Source organism: Homo sapiens, chromosome 12, assembly GCF_000001405.40.
Source record: "Homo sapiens chromosome 12, GRCh38.p14 Primary Assembly".
Classification (NCBI taxonomy): domain Eukaryota; kingdom Metazoa; phylum Chordata; class Mammalia; order Primates; family Hominidae; genus Homo; species Homo sapiens.
The window spans coordinates 84,115,852-84,135,361 of NC_000012.12; the positions used below are offsets into that span (position 1 = coordinate 84,115,852).

The window sequence follows — 19,510 nt, forward strand, 5'->3', positions numbered from 1 at the left end:
AAGCAATGCTGCACATTTCCCAAACCAGTGAGATTTGTTTGGGCGTGGTCCATCAGTCCAATTATCAGGGCATTTGTTAGATAGCGGTGGATGAAAATTATGTTCCCTCTCCGTGAATTGGAATGAAAAGAAATCTACTCTCCAATATTTAATATCCACTTTCAAACCTGAGGCAGAAACACCTGGGAAAAACTATATGTAGAACATTTATAACAGAGAATTATAGAAAATTAAACATAGATCCAACTGAACTGACCTGAAGCCTTACCTTCTATAGGGTTAACTAAACTTGTTTGGTCTGTTTGAGATGGATTTTCTCTTACTTGCATTGCAAACCACTATATATATGTATATATGTATATATATACACACATATTTTATATATATGTATATATGTATATATATACACACATATTTTATATATATGTATGTGTGTGTGAAAGAGTATTGTGTATGTACACATATATATGTATATTTATATGCTTACAAAATAATGTCAAAATTATTTCAGGCAATTATGCATGAAAATTATATATATATATAGAGAGAGAGAGAGAGTGAGAAAGAGAGAGAGAGGATTTTATGTATAATTGCTTCTCAAGAAGGCAAAATAGCAATGTGGTCTAGGCATGTAATCCTGATCCTGAATTTAAACACGTTTTCTAACAGCTAGCATCTGCATATCCCTAGAAAAGTCATTTGTTAACTCTAAGCCACTGTTTTCTTATTTGTAAAATGAGGATAATTCTATTATCTGCACTTTGCTATTGTTGTGAGGATCAAAGAAGACATATGTATTGGCTGCAGTGCCTGGCACTTATAGATAAGCACTCACAAACTATTGGTAGAAATAATTATGATACAGTATCATTGAAGAGTACTTATAAAAGAGAAATGTTTACTGCTTTGTCAGTTATTTGGCCATGATTAGTGTTTTAGTTTCTGCTATTTATATGTCTGCCCTAAGTGATAAAAAGGGAGCAAATAAAATCTAAAATATTATTGTTGCCTTCCATAGATGTATAGTCTATTTGAGGACACTTCATTTACTAAGCAAATAATTAAGCACAAATGGCACTCTCTACATACAAGTGACAAAAAAGGATGATAATTATAATGCAAGAAATAGAGTTAAGAAAAAGGAAATGGTGATTGAAGTGTTCATATAGACCTCATGGAAGAGTTGGAAATTGACCTAGATAGAATAATATAATCGAATGCTTTCAATTTTTAACTGAATCTTTTGGCAGTAAAACTCTGTCTCTCTCCCTCCCTCTCTCTCTCTCTCTCTCTCTCTCTCACTCACACACACACACACACTCTCTGTCCCTCTCTCTCTCCAAGGCTTACAGGAACAAATACATCTTAGAGAAAGTAAAATGTGTACTTTTTGTCGCAATCCCTTTTTCCATAAACATATTCTGAAAAATATTTGAGAACGTAATGCGAAAAGATGACTCTGACACACAGATAGTAATTAAAAAGCAAGTCACACTTTTCTTTACTAATACAGGTCATTCATTCTTAGGAGTGCCAGATCTGTATAGTAACTGTGTACTTAGATGATTCAAATACAACAGAGGATCCACCCTCACTCACTACCAACAAAAACAAACATAACAATTTGACTCTCTCATATTTTCTTTCAAATGAATGGAAAGCTATGCTTTTGTTATAAGTGTAAAAATAGAGAAATCATTTTTGTGTCTCCTCCCCACCATTCCCCATCCATTCTACCACCAAGCTCAGCCAAACTGGCACCATCTGACTTTTGGGGAGCCTGAGGCGGAGGTAAAATTAGAAGGCCACAGATAAACATTAACACTTAAATGATATAAATTGTTAAAAAAAACTGTAAATATTTTGTACTCATACCTTGATAAATATACCATCATGAGAACAAAATTTGAAAAAATAAACCTGTGTTTTTTTATGGATAACAGTAAGCAAAATGTCAGACAACTGTATGTAATTACTGCCTGTGTTTATGTGTTCCTTATTTTAGTTAATTCATTTGGAGGTGGGAGTTCTTATTTATTTATATATGGATAAATTTTTATGGCATATATTGAAATGTTTTTCATTTCATAGCTTTGCTTTTTAATTATTTTGTCATTAGGAAAGTTTTGTCATTAGAGAAGGTTTATTATTATTTTTAAAAAACAAATTTTGGCAACCATGGATAGGTACTATTTGGATTTCCCTTCCAGAAATAAACTATTTGAAGAAATATAGTTCACTGATATCCTGCAGTACCTTTGAGATCCACCACTGTATTCAAGCCAAGGCCACACTCTGTCATGGCAATTCTTAGCCACGAGTTAGCACAGCAGAGATAATGCCTGGACGTTGCTGCCTAACAAAGGACACTTCCATAGATCATCTGTGAACCATATCTATTTTGGGCTGGCCAAGTTGTTATCAGAGATGCACCACAGTCTGCGACTTTTCTTGCCTAATGATATTCTTTTCTACCCACTCTTCTTTCACAGGTGTCAGACTGCCATTATGGCGTGGAAGTTTCTCAGACTTCCTCTGCTCCCTCTTTCATTTACTTTTCATAGGGACTTCTCCAAATAAATTTCTTGACTTTTATCTCTCTTTTGATCCCTGATTGCCTAAAGATCCAAAGTCATACAGTTGGTATTAGGAGACATTCCAAGTAGAGGTGCTAAGATGAGATTTGGGGACTGGATCACTCAGCGCCCAGCTGACAAGAAAGCACATATTCCAAATGACAAGTGAGAAAGTGATAGTACATGGTACAAACTGGAAGATCAATTGCTAAAAATTTCATAAATACAAGTTTGTGAAAACCTCCCTGTAAAAGGAATGATCTGACAGGTGCAATGACTGAGGCATTTAAAAGATATGAGTAACACAGTACATGTAAGAAAGCCGAAGTGGTCTGGTTATTGCAAAAGTGCATTAAAGCTAACAGATATATCAAGAAACTCATCATGGTAAATAAACAAAGTCTGAAAGCTTGAGGGTCTCACTGGTAGCTTACAAAGAGGTCCTTAATTCCTACAGGGAGAGAGCACACCCAGCTGAGGAATAAACTCAAGATTTAATAGTTAAGCTCATGGAAATTCAAACATTATTGAACGTTCAACCAAGCAAATCTGCTATGCTAAAGTCAGGTCTTTGGTTCATAAAACCTGAGACCTTAGAAATGTGAAATGTGAATATATGTCAAGATGGACCCCAAATATTGTGGCTCTGCAGACTCCCCTAAAACCTCAGTATCTGGAGACCTAGACTTCCCTTTCCTAGTACAGGAAGATAATACCGAGGCTGTTCCCCTACAAGCCAATAAATGTCCCCTCAAGATTTCCTCTAACCCCTTTTCCTGAATGTTAGGTTGATAACTAGGATTAAATCCCAGCAAAACATGGCTGGAGGTATTCTTCACCAGAAAAAAAAAAAAAAAAAAAGAAAGACTGCAATTAAGGGAGCTGTAAGAATAGTTAGCATGTACTGACACTGAACCAGAGGATTATCTGTGGGACTTGATTTTGAGAGTGCTTGATTGTGAACACACACACTACTTTGCAGTGAAGGAAGACTTGAGCAGTGGAAGCAAAAAGATAAGAAGAGAATAAATTAATTAACTTGTCAAACCTTTATGCTAATATAGCATAATAATAATATACACTGTATCATTGAATTTGGAAGGACTGAATTATTTATATCTGCAATGGTAAAAACAGTAATCTTTAGCAGAAAAGTCATCAATGTCTGGCAAACATAGCCATACCCTAAGAAGACGGTGAATGATCCAATAGTATTGTGAACTAAGTGAGGCAGTAGTAGTGCCCAGAAAACGTGATGACAGTGAATATAATAATATGCCAAAGAAGCAGAACTAGCTGTGGGAAAGTACTAGTGGAAGCAACACACATTCTCTACATAGGTAGAGATGACCAGAAAACCAAACAGAAGAGGAAATGAAATAAAGCGTAAGTGCGAATATCCATCAGGTGCTCCATCCTTCATATTGGGTTTATGCAATCAAGATGAAACAACTCCTACAATGGTGGTATTGAGTTTCTGCAATGGCAGTATTGTTCCATACTAGAAAAAGAAATAATTATGTGACCCCAGATTCTCTTCTGGCTAATAATACAGTTAATTTCTATTTACGGAAAAACAATACTTGCCCAAAGACTTAGCTGAGTGAATTGTATCTAAATACTCTCTATTATTTTTTTAAAGCCTTTCCAATCATCTTTCCCCAACAACGATGTCTAATATGCTCTTTTCATACTACGTTGCCAGTCTACATACTAGAATATTAGCATGGTTGATTCAGCTTTCTTCTTCAAACATCTTTCAGTTCAGCTTTGGAATAATACTCCATGGTTCCTCTCAAATATCTTAGTATCTTTCTCAATTATTTCTCATTGTTTAGATCTCTAAACACTTGAATATTCAAGGACATAGTCCTCAAAATTTTCTTCTTTTCTTTTGTTATCCTTACATATTAGGCAATTTAATTTAGTCTCATGGCTTTAGATGTCATTTATATTTTCACAACTTACACATTTTACCACTGTTCCTTACTTTTCCCACAAACATCAGGCCTATGACCATTGCCTACTCTTCATCTTTACTTGCATATCTAATTAATATCTCAAACTTAACAGATCCAAAATTAACAGCATGGTTTTTTTCTCTCCCTGCTCTATTTGCAGATTTGCCTGCCTGAGTAAATGCTCATTTCATTTTACCAATTTTTCAGATCAAAACACTGAGTGTAATCCTTAATACCCCTTTTTTCTTATAAACCTTATCTTATCCATTAGAAAACCTAGTCACAATCTGCCAGAATGTGTACATAGAATTGTAACTTTACAAATATCACGCATGTCCAAGGCATCATAATCATTAATCTATATCCATTTTCCTGAATTACTTTTTGTTTTATTATCAATTGGCATATTTGTTGTGCAGACATGTTTGATATGTACATATGCTTGTGTTTATGCACACATATAATTATTAATATATTCTAGATGTGTTTTTAAAACTTATGGTTTATTGTCAATATTCCTCTAATAAAATTTAAGTTTCATGAGATCACAGTGTTTTCCTTTTCAGTTTACAGCTTTATCATCAAAATCCAGACTAGTGTCTAGTATAAGTGCTCAATAAATGTTATTGATTATAAATGTTAGAGAATTTTAAAAGATCATTTTTTGATTAATGTATTATTGACCCAGAATTTTTAGTGTATTGCTAACCTAAAATTTAGTTTATATAAAGAAAGACAAGTGGGAAAATTACATTAATTATTATAAGCATTACACTACAAATTTGAAAAAAATGCACAAGAAAAATTGCCTACTATTTTAATAAAAGATAAGTGTTTTCAATGACGGCAGCAAACTCTATGTTTATTAATAGGACTTCACTATTGTTACATTTCAATGGAAGTCAGACGGTTATATAAAAGTGTGTCGAGTTGTTGATTTTCGCCAAGAAATTTTAGGTGAACTGAATATCATATCACTTACTGAATTGACAATCTCCGTTTCATAAGAAAGTAACTACAAGGGAAGAAAACTTACATTCAGATGTAGATTTTAATCAACATGAAATTGGGATGTAGGGATTATTTTCGATGATTTAATGGTCAGAGTTATCAAACTATGATCTCCAGAATCACCTACTTCCATAATGGAAATATGTATACAATATTAAAACACATTGAAAAAATTAATGTAGGCTACTGTCTTTTAGTTAATGTATTTTTACAAAAAGTTATAATTTATTTAATTATATTTAAAGTTTTAGAATAGTAGTCTTAAAGATAAAACAGCCATTTTGTATGAATTTCATTACTTTTTTACTTGCACTATCAAAAGGAGCATAATAAATCACATTTTTAAATGGAAATACTAATACAAATGTCCAAACTCAGTATCTGTGCACTTTTGCTGTCATAAAGTTTTAAACTAGTCCAACCACTGTGGAAGACGGTGTGGCGATTCCTCAAGGATCTAGAACTAGAAATACCATTTGACCCAGCCATCCTATTACTGGGTATATACCCAAACAATTATAAATCATGCTGCTATAAAGGCACGTGCACACATATGTTTATTGCGGCACTATTCACAATAGCAAAGACTTGGAACCAACCCAAATGTCTATCAATGATAGACTGGATTAAGAAAATGTGGCACATACACACCATGGAATACGATGCAGCCATAAAAAAGGATGAGTTCATGTCCTTTGTAGGGACATGGATGAAGCTGGAAACCATCACTCTCAGCAAACTATCGCAAGAACAAAAAACCAGACACTGCATGCTCTCACTTATAGGTGGGAATTGAACAATGAGAGCACTTGGACACAGGAAGGGGAACATCACACACTGGGGCCTGTTGTGGGGTGGGGGGAGTGGGGAGGGAAAGCATTAGGAGATATACCCAATGTAAATGACGAGTTAATGGGTGCAGCACACCAACATGGCACATGTATACATATATACCAAACCTGCACGATGTGTACATGTACCCTAGAACTTAAAGTATAATAATAAAAAAAAAGAAAATTCCAAAGCTATCTAAATTCAGCCTCCCTTTTTGTTAACTACAGTGGTCCACCAAAAAATACCAAAATACATTATAAATATTATTTTGGGCCTTTTTTCCATTCGTTATTGATTTATTTTGACCTTATTATTTAAGATTAGTTTATCTTTTTCAACTACTCATCAATTTATCCAATGTTTTCTTTATAAACCATTTCAGTTTTAGGCTTGGGAGAAAGTCAATCTTGAATTAATGTTTTTCTAGAATTGATTTAAGTGTGGGATGCTATTAGAACTGAAAGAGGCAAATCATTTGATATAACTGGTATATGTCAACCATCCATGTTCTTTCACTCATGCTAGCCTCCCTCTACATATGTTCTTTTACACTTGAGAAAGCATCCACGTTGCTTATTTTAAAGATGATTTTTAAACTATAAGCAGGGCCTATATCATAGAATTAATTCATTTTTAAGCCATTGTAAAAATTAGAGAGCTAGATTAAATTCATTTTAATCATTTGTAAAAGAAATAGCTTATTGGTTTGATTTGGAAACAAAGGAAATTAGCCAAACTCATTTATGTAAACAATTTTCCTTTTCTGCTTAAAATATTTATTTTTCTTTTGAAATGTTATGAAACCATGGAGAAAATACACAAAATAAAACTTAAATTAGGTGTCATCAATTTCTTAGCCTAGAAAATACCAGGAATTATTTATAAAGGGGGGTAAATCAATTTTTCTCCACAGGAAATGCCTAAAGGGCATTGGTTCAACCCAGTAGGTAAGCTGCCATATACATGCCAGCATCCTATCACCCAGCCAGAAGTGAAGGCTGCTTTTTACCTTCAGGATTTAACATTAGCCCACCAGTTTTCATATGCTTTTGTTCTTAAATATAGTTATAAGTAAGGTCAAATACTATAAAATACATAACTGTAAATACCACTATTTGGCAAGAAATAAATTTGAAGCATAATATTAAGATCAGTAACATATTGAATTTTTGTTTAATTAAAATGCCCACAATAAAAAGATAATGTTTTAATTATATGAATTATGTATTCCCCACCACGGTGTATTTCTCATGGTAAGATATATTTTTCACCATGTCATTATAATTTTCTGTATGGTCTCTCATGGAACATATAAAATATGCAATGTGATTTAACTGTGTATATAATTAATATCTTAAAAATAATTTGGACTAACTCAATATTTAGAAAATTAACAGGTAGGTCATTGACAGTTCTAGGTCTATAACTTGGAAAATGAGGAAAATCTTCCTGAGTTGACCTGAGGGATCAAAAACAGTGAAATAAAGGAGGTAAGCACTTCTTGTCTTATGTTACTTTCTACCCAAGATTCGGAAAGCTTGTCCTTTGCCAACTGCATAAAATCTCCCGATGGCTTTTAATGACCTTTACAATACTGTTCTGTATTATTGAGTGAAATAATTTCCTACTTAAATTATCCATCAAAACAGACTCTATTCTTCTTTATCATGTTTTGTATTTTCTCTACAGTAGGGACCCTTAATTATTTAGTTTCTCATTTCTAGAATAGATTTCTTCTCCAGTGGAATTCAAATGGTATTCTGCTTCCCCTTACGTTTTTGGTGTGTCTACCACAGGGCATGTATAGAAGAAATTTGGGGTAATGTTCCCAAAAGTTAAATGATGTTTTTGAGTTAGCTCCAAATTCCTCACTGTCACTTCAGCCCAAGCATTTATCCATTTGTCTGTCTGTCTGTCTCTCTCTGTCTCTCTCTTTTCTCCTTTCTATTTTTAAACTCAGTTTTGGTAATTGAGTTTCCGCATAATATTTTGGATGATCAAGTTTGCCATTATACTTTTTACAAAACAATGTGTTATATTATTTGTTTCTAAATGTTCCCTAAATTTATGCTTGCTTTTAATATTCATGTTGTATAATTTTCAGGCAAGAATTAGTTTATAATGTTTAGCACAGTGTTGGAGATGTAATAGACTGACTGGAATTTGGTTTATCTGAGGGTTGCTTAAATGCCTTTCAATTGACAATGACTCATATTGTCCATTTGTAATTTAAATGTGTTTTTATTTCTCTAAAACTGTGCTGATATTCATTACTAGAATGGTATTTAATAGGGATTTTGGTTGTAAAAAATTAAGGGTGATTTTTCCAGATCTTTTTGCTGGAACCATAGAAACACTAAACACTTTCAAATTCCCCCTTCATCCACATTCAGTCATCAAAAATGGATGGTTTCATATACTTAAAAATAAGCCCTGTTGGCCGGGCGTGGTGACTCACGCCTGTAATCCCAGCACTTTAGGAGGCCGAGGCGGGAGGATCACGAGGTCAGGAGATCAAGACTATCCTGGGTAACACGGTGAAACCCCGTCTCTACTAAAATTACAAACAATTAGCCGGGCGTGGTGGCGGGCGCCTGTAGTCCCAGCTACTCCGGAGGCTGAGGCAGGAGAATGGCGTGAACCCGGGAGGCGGAGCTTGCAGTGAGCCAAGATTGCGCCACTGCACTCCAGCCTGGGTGGGTGACAGAGCAAGACTGCGTCTAAAAAAAAAAAAAAAACCCTGGCAAAATTTAGCATTTTTATAAGTTTTAGTATTGCATAGCATATTCTAAATATGCATATATCACCCAATACTATTTTTACCTTTAATTAAATTAACTCACTTTTAAATTTTAAATATTTACTTAAATTTTGAGCTACACAAATGAATTTTGGTATTATTCAGTCAGCAAAGGCAATAAAAACCCATTAAGTTTCCATTCAGTGATTTAAAATGACAGGGAAAAAAAGAGCTACCTCGGTATTAATATGAAAGAGAGAGTAGCATTCTCTCAGGGAGCTATTGTTATCTGTGATGGATCTGGATGTGAATATATTGCATTTTGTCATATAAATATTTTCCACAGGGCTGCTGAATTACAATACTCTAAAGCTTTCCTTTTTCTCCATTCTCTTGCCATTACACACAAAACCAAAATCACTTAGAAACTCACATTAACTTAATATGTTATTTCATTCTGTTGATTGTATTTTTGGATTTTCCATTTCATGGAAGAATTGAATGCTTATGATAAAAGACATTACAAGTATCTTAGAATTGTGTGTATTAATATTTCTTAACATTTAATATTATTTTTGAAAATAAATCTTAAAAAGCTTCTACTTTGTTCATATTAGATTCAAGCAATAATCAGTGATATTATATGTACTCTTATTTATAAGTTATAATTGTTCTTTGACTAAAACATCACATGTATATATGAAAAAGGTGACTAAAAGATAAAAATTATAATAGTATAAATATTAAGGAATAAATTTAAATGTAATATGATTTATTTTATTTTTAAACACTAACTTTATTGTGTATCTTGAAATATTACAATTTTCTTTTAGGAGAGGAGAAAGAAATCAAATTTAGAATATCTACTATGTAACAGGGAGGGATGTTGTACATTTACTATTTAATGAGATTGGTATAGTACATACACAGTGAGATTGGTGCAGTGGTAATAATAATTGAAATAGCAAGAATTATGACAATGTATTTAAGGCTTACATTTTTTTCAGATGCTTTTCTAAATATTTTACATGCATTAAATTATTTTTCTTCATAATCAACCTCTGAGGTGAGGTTTATTAATATCTCCTTTTATTTTAATTTATTCCTTCCATTTATTTTGTTTATCTTTTAAAGTATTTTACCCTAATCTGATAAAATAATTAGTACTTCCTCAAGTTCCATAAGAATTTCTTTAATGTTTGTTTTTTAACTGAGGTTTTAAGAGTTGGAGCCTCTATTTGATTAAAAGCATTTTGTTATCAAATATTGAATATGTGCTGTTACATAAATGGTCTGACTTCCATTTCTAGCTGAACTATTATCTTTAAAATATAATTTCAATTTTCTAAGCCTCAGTTTACCTAACAGTAAAACAAGGTCAATAATAGTTTATAACTCATCAGTGTCAGAAATAACTCAGATTTCATGCATATGCAGTTCTTAGAAAAATATCTGGATCCTAGCACTTTGGGAGGCTGAGGCAGGCAGATCACCTGAGGTCAGGAGTTCAAGACCAGCCTGGCCAACATAGCAAAACCCTTTCTCTACTAAAAATACAAAAATTAGGCGAGCATGGTGGTGCGTGCCTGTAGTCTCAGCTACTCAGGAGGCTGAGGCAGAAGCAGCAGAAGCGTCACTTCAATCTGGGAGGTGGAGGTTGCAGTCAGCTGAGATCATGCCATTGCACTCCAGCTTGGGTGACAAAGCAAGACTCTGTCTCAAAAAAAAAAAAAATCTGGAACATGAAATTGATTAATACAGATGATCAATCATCTTAAATATAACAAAATTTTCTTACTGTAATGAGTGGTTCAATGGTTCAATTAAAATTTTAGATTGTTTCATGGAATATGTGTGACTTCTCAATCAGATGAAATGTGAAAACATCAAAAAGTTCATTCAAGCAGGATAACAGGGCTGTTTATATGAAACAATAAAATCTTAAAAAAATACTTCATATATAAGTAATATATGGAAAAGGTCTGGAACTATTTGAAAAAAAAATGTTTTTGTTTGGTTCTTCAGATGATACAGAATAGTAATTGGGAGATAGAATTCTAGGTTTTGATACATGTGATAGTTTGACAATTTAGAAACTAAAGCTTTATAAAAGCAATCATGGTATAGTGGCTGACTGGTTATTCAAATAGTTAGATCTCAGCCTGCCTGGATTCCAATCCTTAGTATAAATAATGATTCTGAAATTGCACCTTAGGAGACATCATAATTCTATGCATGCCCTTGCTTAAGTGAGAGGGCATTTTTAGCACGATTATTCTAAACTGTAAAGAAATAGTTCACCCATATAATGGAATTTAAGCAGCACTTTTTAAACTTTATTGTGTATGCAGCACCTGAAAATTTTATTAAAATACAAGATTCTGACTCAGTTGTTCTGAGCTAGAGACTGGGATTTGGCATTTCTAACATGTTTCCAGATGCTGCTGATGTTGCTGGTCCATAAACCACACTTTGAGTAATTAAGGACATATTGGAAATTATCCACCCATCGTATAGTATCTTTTCCATCTGTTTATCAGAATGATGGAATTTTCACCACTTCAGATTTATTACTTTTCATCTGTCTATTCTTGTATACAAATTTGAAATGGAAATGCCAGTGGGGACGTTTAGGAAGCAATTCCAACCTAGAGAATCTTTAGTATCAGCCAGACTTAAAGAAAAAGGAAATTTTGCTTGACGTGATTTGGAACAGGTGCACTCATCTTGAAAAAGCTATCTTTGGTAGAGGTCTATCATAGATAGTTGTCCTGGGATGGCTTTAGAAAGAAAGGAAACAAGAAGAGGCAGAAACATAGAGAAAAGAAATGTAGAAATCAGTTAAGTCAAACTTTACCCACCTTTCCATTTACCTTATGCAAGGTCAAGAGGACAAGTATTATATTAGTTTGTATTGCTGCCATTACCACAATTTACAAAACATAAGTATCTTAAAACAATACCTGTTTATAATCTCACAGTTCTGAAGGTCTGAACTTCTGAAAGTCTGAAGTCTAAAGCACCTTGACTGGATTCTCTTCTCAGGGTCTCATTAAACTTGAATCAGCGTATTATATCTGCTGGGGCTGTCAGCTAAGTCTCGGGGTCCACCTCCAAACTCACTGATTGTTGGCAGAAGTGATTTTCTTCGAATGCTTTCCCCACATTGTCCTCTTTACCATCAAGCCAGCAACGGTGGGTCAGTGGGTTGAGTCTTTCTCGTGCTTTTAATCTCTTTTTCCTTCGCTACCAGCCAGAGAAAGCGCTATGCTTTTGATGGCAGCTGTGGCCTATCTAGAGCAGCTGCTGCCATGACGCAGGTTGCAGTGGGGGAGGCGCGCAGGGGCTCCACAGAGCCACCTGGAGCCAGGAACAGGAGGGATCCCCGCCCTTTTCTGAATTGGAGGGTCGGGAGGCCAGCCCTCCCAGCTGCAGCCAACTAGTCTCAGCTACAGACCTGGACATGCCTGCGCTAGGGGGCCCGGGAAGCCCCCTTCCCCTGCAGGCTCTGAAGTGCCTGCTCCTACTGCCTGGCCTCTCCCGGCTCCCGGTGCCCACTCCGATTTTGGAGCAAAGTTGAGGCTGAGCCCGAGTGCTGTCACGATCCTACTGGGTGTGCACGCACTCGAGCCAGCGCTGACACACCAGTCCCCCTGCCGCCTTGGCCCGTTCTAGGATTTGGGACACCAATGAGCATGAGAGGGAGCTGAGGTGGGGGCTGAGGGCAGCTCAGCATGGGCCTGCAGGCACCCCTCAGCGGGAACAGCCTGGGAAATATGGGCACCATGGAGGGTAGGTTGATGGCAGCAGGAGGCAGACAGGCTCCTGGGTGGAAAGGGGTGTGTCCCCAGTTAAGCCCCACCTTCAAGCTAGTGAGTGTCAGAAGCTTGGAGACTGAGCTGCCAGTTCCACTGCCCCGAGTAAGAACTTGTGGCTTTTTCCGGGACAGCCCATGGCCACCCATGGACCAATCAGCAGGCACTTCTTCCCCTCTGAAGCCCATAAAAACCCCAGACTTAGACAGACTGGCAGACGATGGGACCACCTGCCTGCTGATAGAATCTACCCACTCCGGGTCTCCTGAGAACTCTTCTGGCTCTCAGTGAAGCTCCTCTCCACCTTGCTCACCCTCCAGTTTTCTGTGTACCTCATTCTTCCTGGACACGGAACAAGAACTCGGATTTGATGAAAGGCAAAACTAAAAGAGCTGTAACACAAACAGGTCTGAACCCACCCCCCTCACTGACCCCCTCCACTCGACCAAGCTGCAGTGACGAGAAGAAGAGAAGAGCTATGGCCCTTTGGGGAACCCAGACCTAGGGACATCCTGAACCAGGGCTGTGACACCCTTTTTGAGGCTCTGTGGTTCCTGGTGTCTCCAAGCTTCCAGGCGCCACTGCATTCTCCTTGTCCAGACGTGGGTGCATGCAGCTTCTGTTCCCTTATGCGTTCCCCACGTGGTCCTCTTTACCATCAAGTCAGCAATGGTGGGTCTGTGGGTTGAGTCTTTCTCATGCTTTTAATCTCTCATTTCAGTTTTGCTACTAGTCAGAGAAAGAGCTATACTTTTGATGGCAGCAGTGACCTGTTTGGAGCGGCTTGCCACTCTGCACTTGGCTCACACTTGGCAGGTGTAGGATCCAGGCCGTAGCACGACCCTGGTGTAGCCTGCAGGGCTGACTGGGCATAATGAGCCCAGGGGCATGAGCAATACGCAGGCCGACCAATACTCAGACAGAAGGTGCACTGGCCACAGAGGTTTCTGGCTGGCGAAGCAACACCTGAAGGATCTTGTGACACTTTTAAGGGCTTATGTGATTACATTACAGACATTGAATAATCCATAATAATCTCCCTAATTTATGTAATCTTAATTAGATTGTAATCTTAATTACATTTTCAAAGTCTCTTTGAGATGTAACATAACATATCTATGGGAGTAACACCACGTGCCAAAGGTCATAGGGACAACCACAGTAACTTAATATTTTTTAAGAGGAAGCATGAACATGCTAGAATGAAAAGTTCACTAATTTGGATTCTCGACTGGGCTTAATTACATACTACTCCTTTTATATGAGAAAAATAAACACTCCAAGTATTATTTCTTTCACACTTTTTGAAAAACAAAAAAAGTGTGGCCTGATTTATTAATGCTGTACAATACCAAATTTATAAAAAAGCTTAAGATGTTATTATTGCACATTCTAACTAATGCCAATCACAGGATTTTGCAAACATTAACTAAATAAATTAATAAATTGCCACATTTGAAGGCCATCAAATAAGTAATGCATTTCAAAGCCAACAATATAGTGCATGACATCTGCTTGGAACTTTACATCAGCCTTATAATTAAAAATTTATGAGATCTGCTATTTCTAATAAATGCCTTTTGCAAATTGCAATAGCATTCATCAGAGTGGTTTACAAAGACTGATTGTTACAAACAATGAAAAATATTTAATGCCTCAAGAAATCCCATTGTAACAGGCAAAAAAGCAGTTATTGGAAATAGAGATCTCATAATTTTTTATTTATAAGGCTGATGTAAAGTTCCAAGCAGATGTCATCTACTAAATAAAATTTCACTACACTTTTGATTACAATACAGAGAAGACTATAGCAACGTAAACTGTTTTTGAAGAAAAAAGATTATATTGCTCCAAACAACAAAGCATACTTTCTTTCATTTTTTTATAATGCATTCTAGTCTTTATACAATTCCATGCACATTTTTCAGTTATAATCAAAGTATTCATAGAACTGTGTATTTGTTTATTTCCACCAAATGTTACATGATAAACACTTTTGCATTTTTCTACATGGTTTTAATAGAATAATTATGATAGATGGCTGAACAAGAATCTATCAGTTTGATGAAATGTAAATTTCTTAACTATTCCCCTATTCTAGGATACTCAGATGACAGTGTGTTTCTAATAATATGACTAATGCTGGATTTTTTAGTAAGTCATTTGTTTTCAAAAAATAATAATAGTACATAAATCAAATTATTTTGAAAATGAATGAGACATCGTAAAGAAACTGGACAATTATTTTGGGAAATATCCTTGGAATATCATTTTTGTTGTTACAGAAGAGTTATTGGATACATATCTCTCATCCATATATGTGGATTGTTTTGACTGTAATGATAAGGCCACCCATGGCAAAGATTTGTTTTTACACTCCATCTGTTTGATATGTACTGTTTAGATTCGAAAAAAAATTTGGACCCCAGTGAGACACAGTGTTTGGTAATACTTTTTCATATACTTCAGTTACTCTGTGAGTCACTCTCTCCATATGCCTAACAGGATGTGAGCTTTGCAAAAACCTTTGAGAAATGGAATCTATTTCTCAGAAATGAATGAAGACTAATGCACACATCGCATTCATCATAAAAAGTGCTTCTTAAATATCAAATAGTGGTTGGTGTGCAACAAGTGTGGAGAAGCAGAAGACATATGGACTATGTTTACTGTCTGGGCCTATGATAAAAGTAAAAATCCCTGAATGGGGGTGTTTGTTTTTGTGAAAGCCTGTTTTAAATATTGTTGTACAAATTTTTTATCTGTACTAAATCTTTGTATTTGTGGTATAAGTTTTAACTAAGTCTGATTTAATGATATACCCATTCCATTCTATTACAATTAAAGAATTAAATTAACTTTCCATTTAAGTTTCATACATAAATAAATAACAAACATTAACTAATTTGAAAGGTATGATGGGATATTTCATCCAACTCAAAAATCACAGAAACCTATACCTTTATCAGTGCACTGATGTTTTTGTATTTTGTGTTTTTTTAATGTTTTCCTTTCCTGAACTGATAGCACTGATTCTCTATATTATTACTTTAGAAGTTAATTATGTGTCACCTCAGAATAGATATATTGTTATTTTTAGCAGTATTAGTATTATTAACTTCTACAGTTTTGGTTTTGAAGACCTACTGAAAAGGTAGTGCAACTAAAAAATAAGCACAATTCTACCAATAATTAAGGAACTACTTAAAATTCCTGAGACTCTAGATAAGAATGTCAGTAATGTTCACAATCTATGTATCAACAAGCAAAAAACAAATAACTCCATTAAAATGTAGGCAGAGGACATGCATAGACACTCTTCAAAAGAAAACATACATGCAGCCAACAAGCATGTGAAAAAATGGCCAGTATCACTCATTAGAGAAATGCAAATCGAAATGACATTGAGATACCATCTCACACAAGTGAGAATGGCTTTTATTAAAAAGTCAAAAAATAACAGATGCTGGAAAGATTGCAGAGAAAAGGGAATGCTTATACACTGCTGGTAGGAATGTAAATTAGTTCAGCCACTGTGGAAAGCAGTTTGTCAATTTCTCAAAGAACGTAAAACAGAACTACCATTTGACCCAGCAATCCCATTCTTGGATATGTACTCAAAGTAATATAAATTGTTCTACCATAAAGACACATGCATCCATATGTTCATTGCAGCACTATTCACAATAGTAAAACATGGAATGAACCTAATGTTCATCAGCGGTAGACTGAATAAAGAAAATATGGTACTTATAAACCATTGAATACTATGCAGCCATTAAAAAGGCTAGCACTTCCTTTCTCCAGGGCAAATTTTTATTTTTATTTTTTGAACAGGTTGATGTGTTATGTAACATTGAAACACCCATTCTGCCGTTTATTTTAATACAAAATTAATATTTAAATATGTCATACCAATATAGACTTGAGGAGTGAAAGTAAGGGATAGATTTTATCACTTTCATCTCCAGAATTTAGAATGCATTTATGGATATCTCAGCATCTCGTAACTACTGTCAAATGTGTTTTAGAGACCTGCTAATTATGAAAGATTAGCAGTTATTCAGGATTGAAAGATTTGTAGTTAACACTTGGGGGAAATAGTCATTATCTTAGGGAAAACTAGCAATATCCAAAAAGCAGAGCTTCCTGAAATTAATACGGAGTTTGAGGAAGTTCTAAGTTTGGTATGACTAGGGCAAAAATTATATGTAGATGTTTGACTAAGGAAGATATTGGAGAAACAAACCAAGGCCAAATAATGAGGACTATTGTCATAGCCTGGATTTTATCCTTGTTGGTAACTTCAAAACTGGAGACACTCCAAGATTTGACTATGAAAATTGCAGAATAAGGTGCCATTTAAAATTTTTTTCTAGCAAATTAGAGAAAATACTATAAAGGTAGTTTTAATGGAAGGTTAGAAAACCATATGTAAAAATAATTTTAAGCATCCAGATGAAAGGGAGAAATAATATAAATGATAACTAGAGAGCAGAAAAGGAAGATTTCAAAGAAGGAGATACAATTGACTGAGAATTAAGACCACCTGTATCAACATGACTTAACCATTTATTCCAGGAAATTCATTACAAGGAAAGTAATGCTCTAAACCAATAATTACCTTAACCATTTGCCTCTTTGCATCAGGAAATCCTTACAAACAAATGTATTTGATCAGTTTTCTAATGTGGGCAAACCCCTCTTCCATTTAGATAACATCTTTCTTATGTTGGCAAACGTCTTGCTTTATTATTGCCCCATGAAGTCCCCTGATCTTAAAATATAAAATGAATTTTGCCCAATTTCAACCAGTTCAAGAACTTTCAAAAAATAGTGCATATTTAGCCAGTTCTAGAATGATTAATTAAAATGCAAGTTTGCAAAGTATAACAGTAGAAAAGATGAGAGTTCTGTTTTATTTACACTTGGCATAAATATCTTTCCACTATGCTATATGTTATATGTGCTATATGCTAAATGCGAGGTGGTAGGGAGAAAAGTTCAAGGCACACCACAGACACACACACACACAATCCCTCATTTTATAAAGGATTATAACCATGTTAAATTTCTACACTTTAGGTCACACCTTTCTTACTACGTGCATTTTGCCCTTTCACAATTCAGTCGGCCCCTGACTTAAGATGCATTTACTTACAATCTTTTTTCCTTATGCTGGTGCAAAAGGAATACATATTCAGTAGGCTCCTTAATATACAATCAAATTACATGAGGATGTACCTATCATAAATTTAAAATATGGTAACTGGCTTTGACAATATTTTCAACTTACAATGGATTTATTGATTGTAACCCCATCATACATCAGGGAGCATCTGAAGAAGCCACCTAACCCCACTTGAGCCTAGACCCCAGACTCTATACATCTCTTTCCCTAACTTCTGAGACATTATGAAAATTCTTTTAAGATGGCATTCTTCCTCGTTGCAATAAGTTTAATAAAACTCAACTCGATAAAAATATTTTCTGGTGATCTTTGTGGAAGAATTAACAATCTAGGTCACGTTTCTTGATATCTTGGACATTATAGGTGCAGAGGAAGAAAGAAAGAAGAAATGATGTATATAAATGAAAAGAAAAAAGAGAAGTAAAATATACGCTATTTTTAAATTTTTTTTAGCTCAGACAGGGAGTGATAATTGGTGATCTCAAGTAAGACAGAGGGGAAACCTGCAGAAGAAAAATTGTGAGTTGACCTATCAACTAGTTCAATATAAAATTAATTAATTATTTGTGTGTTAAGTACCTGATAACTTTTTTCACTGTGTGACATTTCATGTACTCTGTCTATAATATAGTACACTAACAATGTCAACTTTACTATATTATTATTGAGCCAGTTTATGGGATTTGGTTTGTTTATTCTACTTGCAACTATTTCTATCCCAACTATTTTTTTCTCCAGCTAAACATAAAGATATTTACCGAAAAAACTATGTCTTTCTTTTTATTTACATTATTTAAGCTACAGTATTATTTATTATATGTTAAAATTGTTTCATGAAGCATATCAAGGACATTACTTATATTACATAATTTAATCATCAAAAACTAAGCAATGGGGTAAGTACCATTATTTTGCCTTTTTTTCATGTGAGAAAGTGGGAAGTATTAGGTTAATTTAACTTAACATCATAGAGATAGAATGTGGAACAAAAAGAACTGAACCCAGGCTGTGTGAGTCAGAATGCATATGCTTAACCTCTATGTCATACTTCAAATTACTAATAGAAATAACCTGTATACACATCTCTAGGAATATCAAGGCAAACACTACATAATATAGCATAATGGAAAGATATCATGCCAAGTGTAAATAAAACAGAGCTCTCATCCTTTCTTCTGTTATACTTTTTGCAAACTTGCATTTTAATTAACCCTTTGGAATTGGCTAAATAGGCACTATTTTTTGAAAGTCCTTGAATAATTTTATGAAAATCCAGACGTTTAAAGTAATCTTGATTCCGCAATTTATACACTACAGTTTTTGTTTTTTATATCTGGAAATTAGGTGTTAAAAGTAGAAAAACTTGTTTGATATTATGCTAC

General features: G+C 34.8%; 1 long non-coding RNA gene across 2 annotated transcripts in view, besides 1 other annotated feature; it reads right to left on the reverse strand.

The window, feature by feature from the left end:
- LOC107984536 (uncharacterized) overlaps positions 1-19,510 on the reverse strand; it is a 297,729-nt gene that overhangs the window by 227,004 nt on the left and 51,215 nt on the right. The window lies entirely within an intron of this gene.
- Positions 12,160-12,685: an enhancer, noted in NCBI's record as "H3K4me1 hESC enhancer chr12:84521790-84522315 (GRCh37/hg19 assembly coordinates)". NCBI's record gives its function as "activates a minimal SCP1, AML or CMV promoter by ChIP-STARR-seq in primed H9 embryonic stem cells {active_cell/tissue: H9 hESC(primed)}" and the evidence as "EXISTENCE:reporter gene assay evidence [ECO:0000049][PMID:30033119]".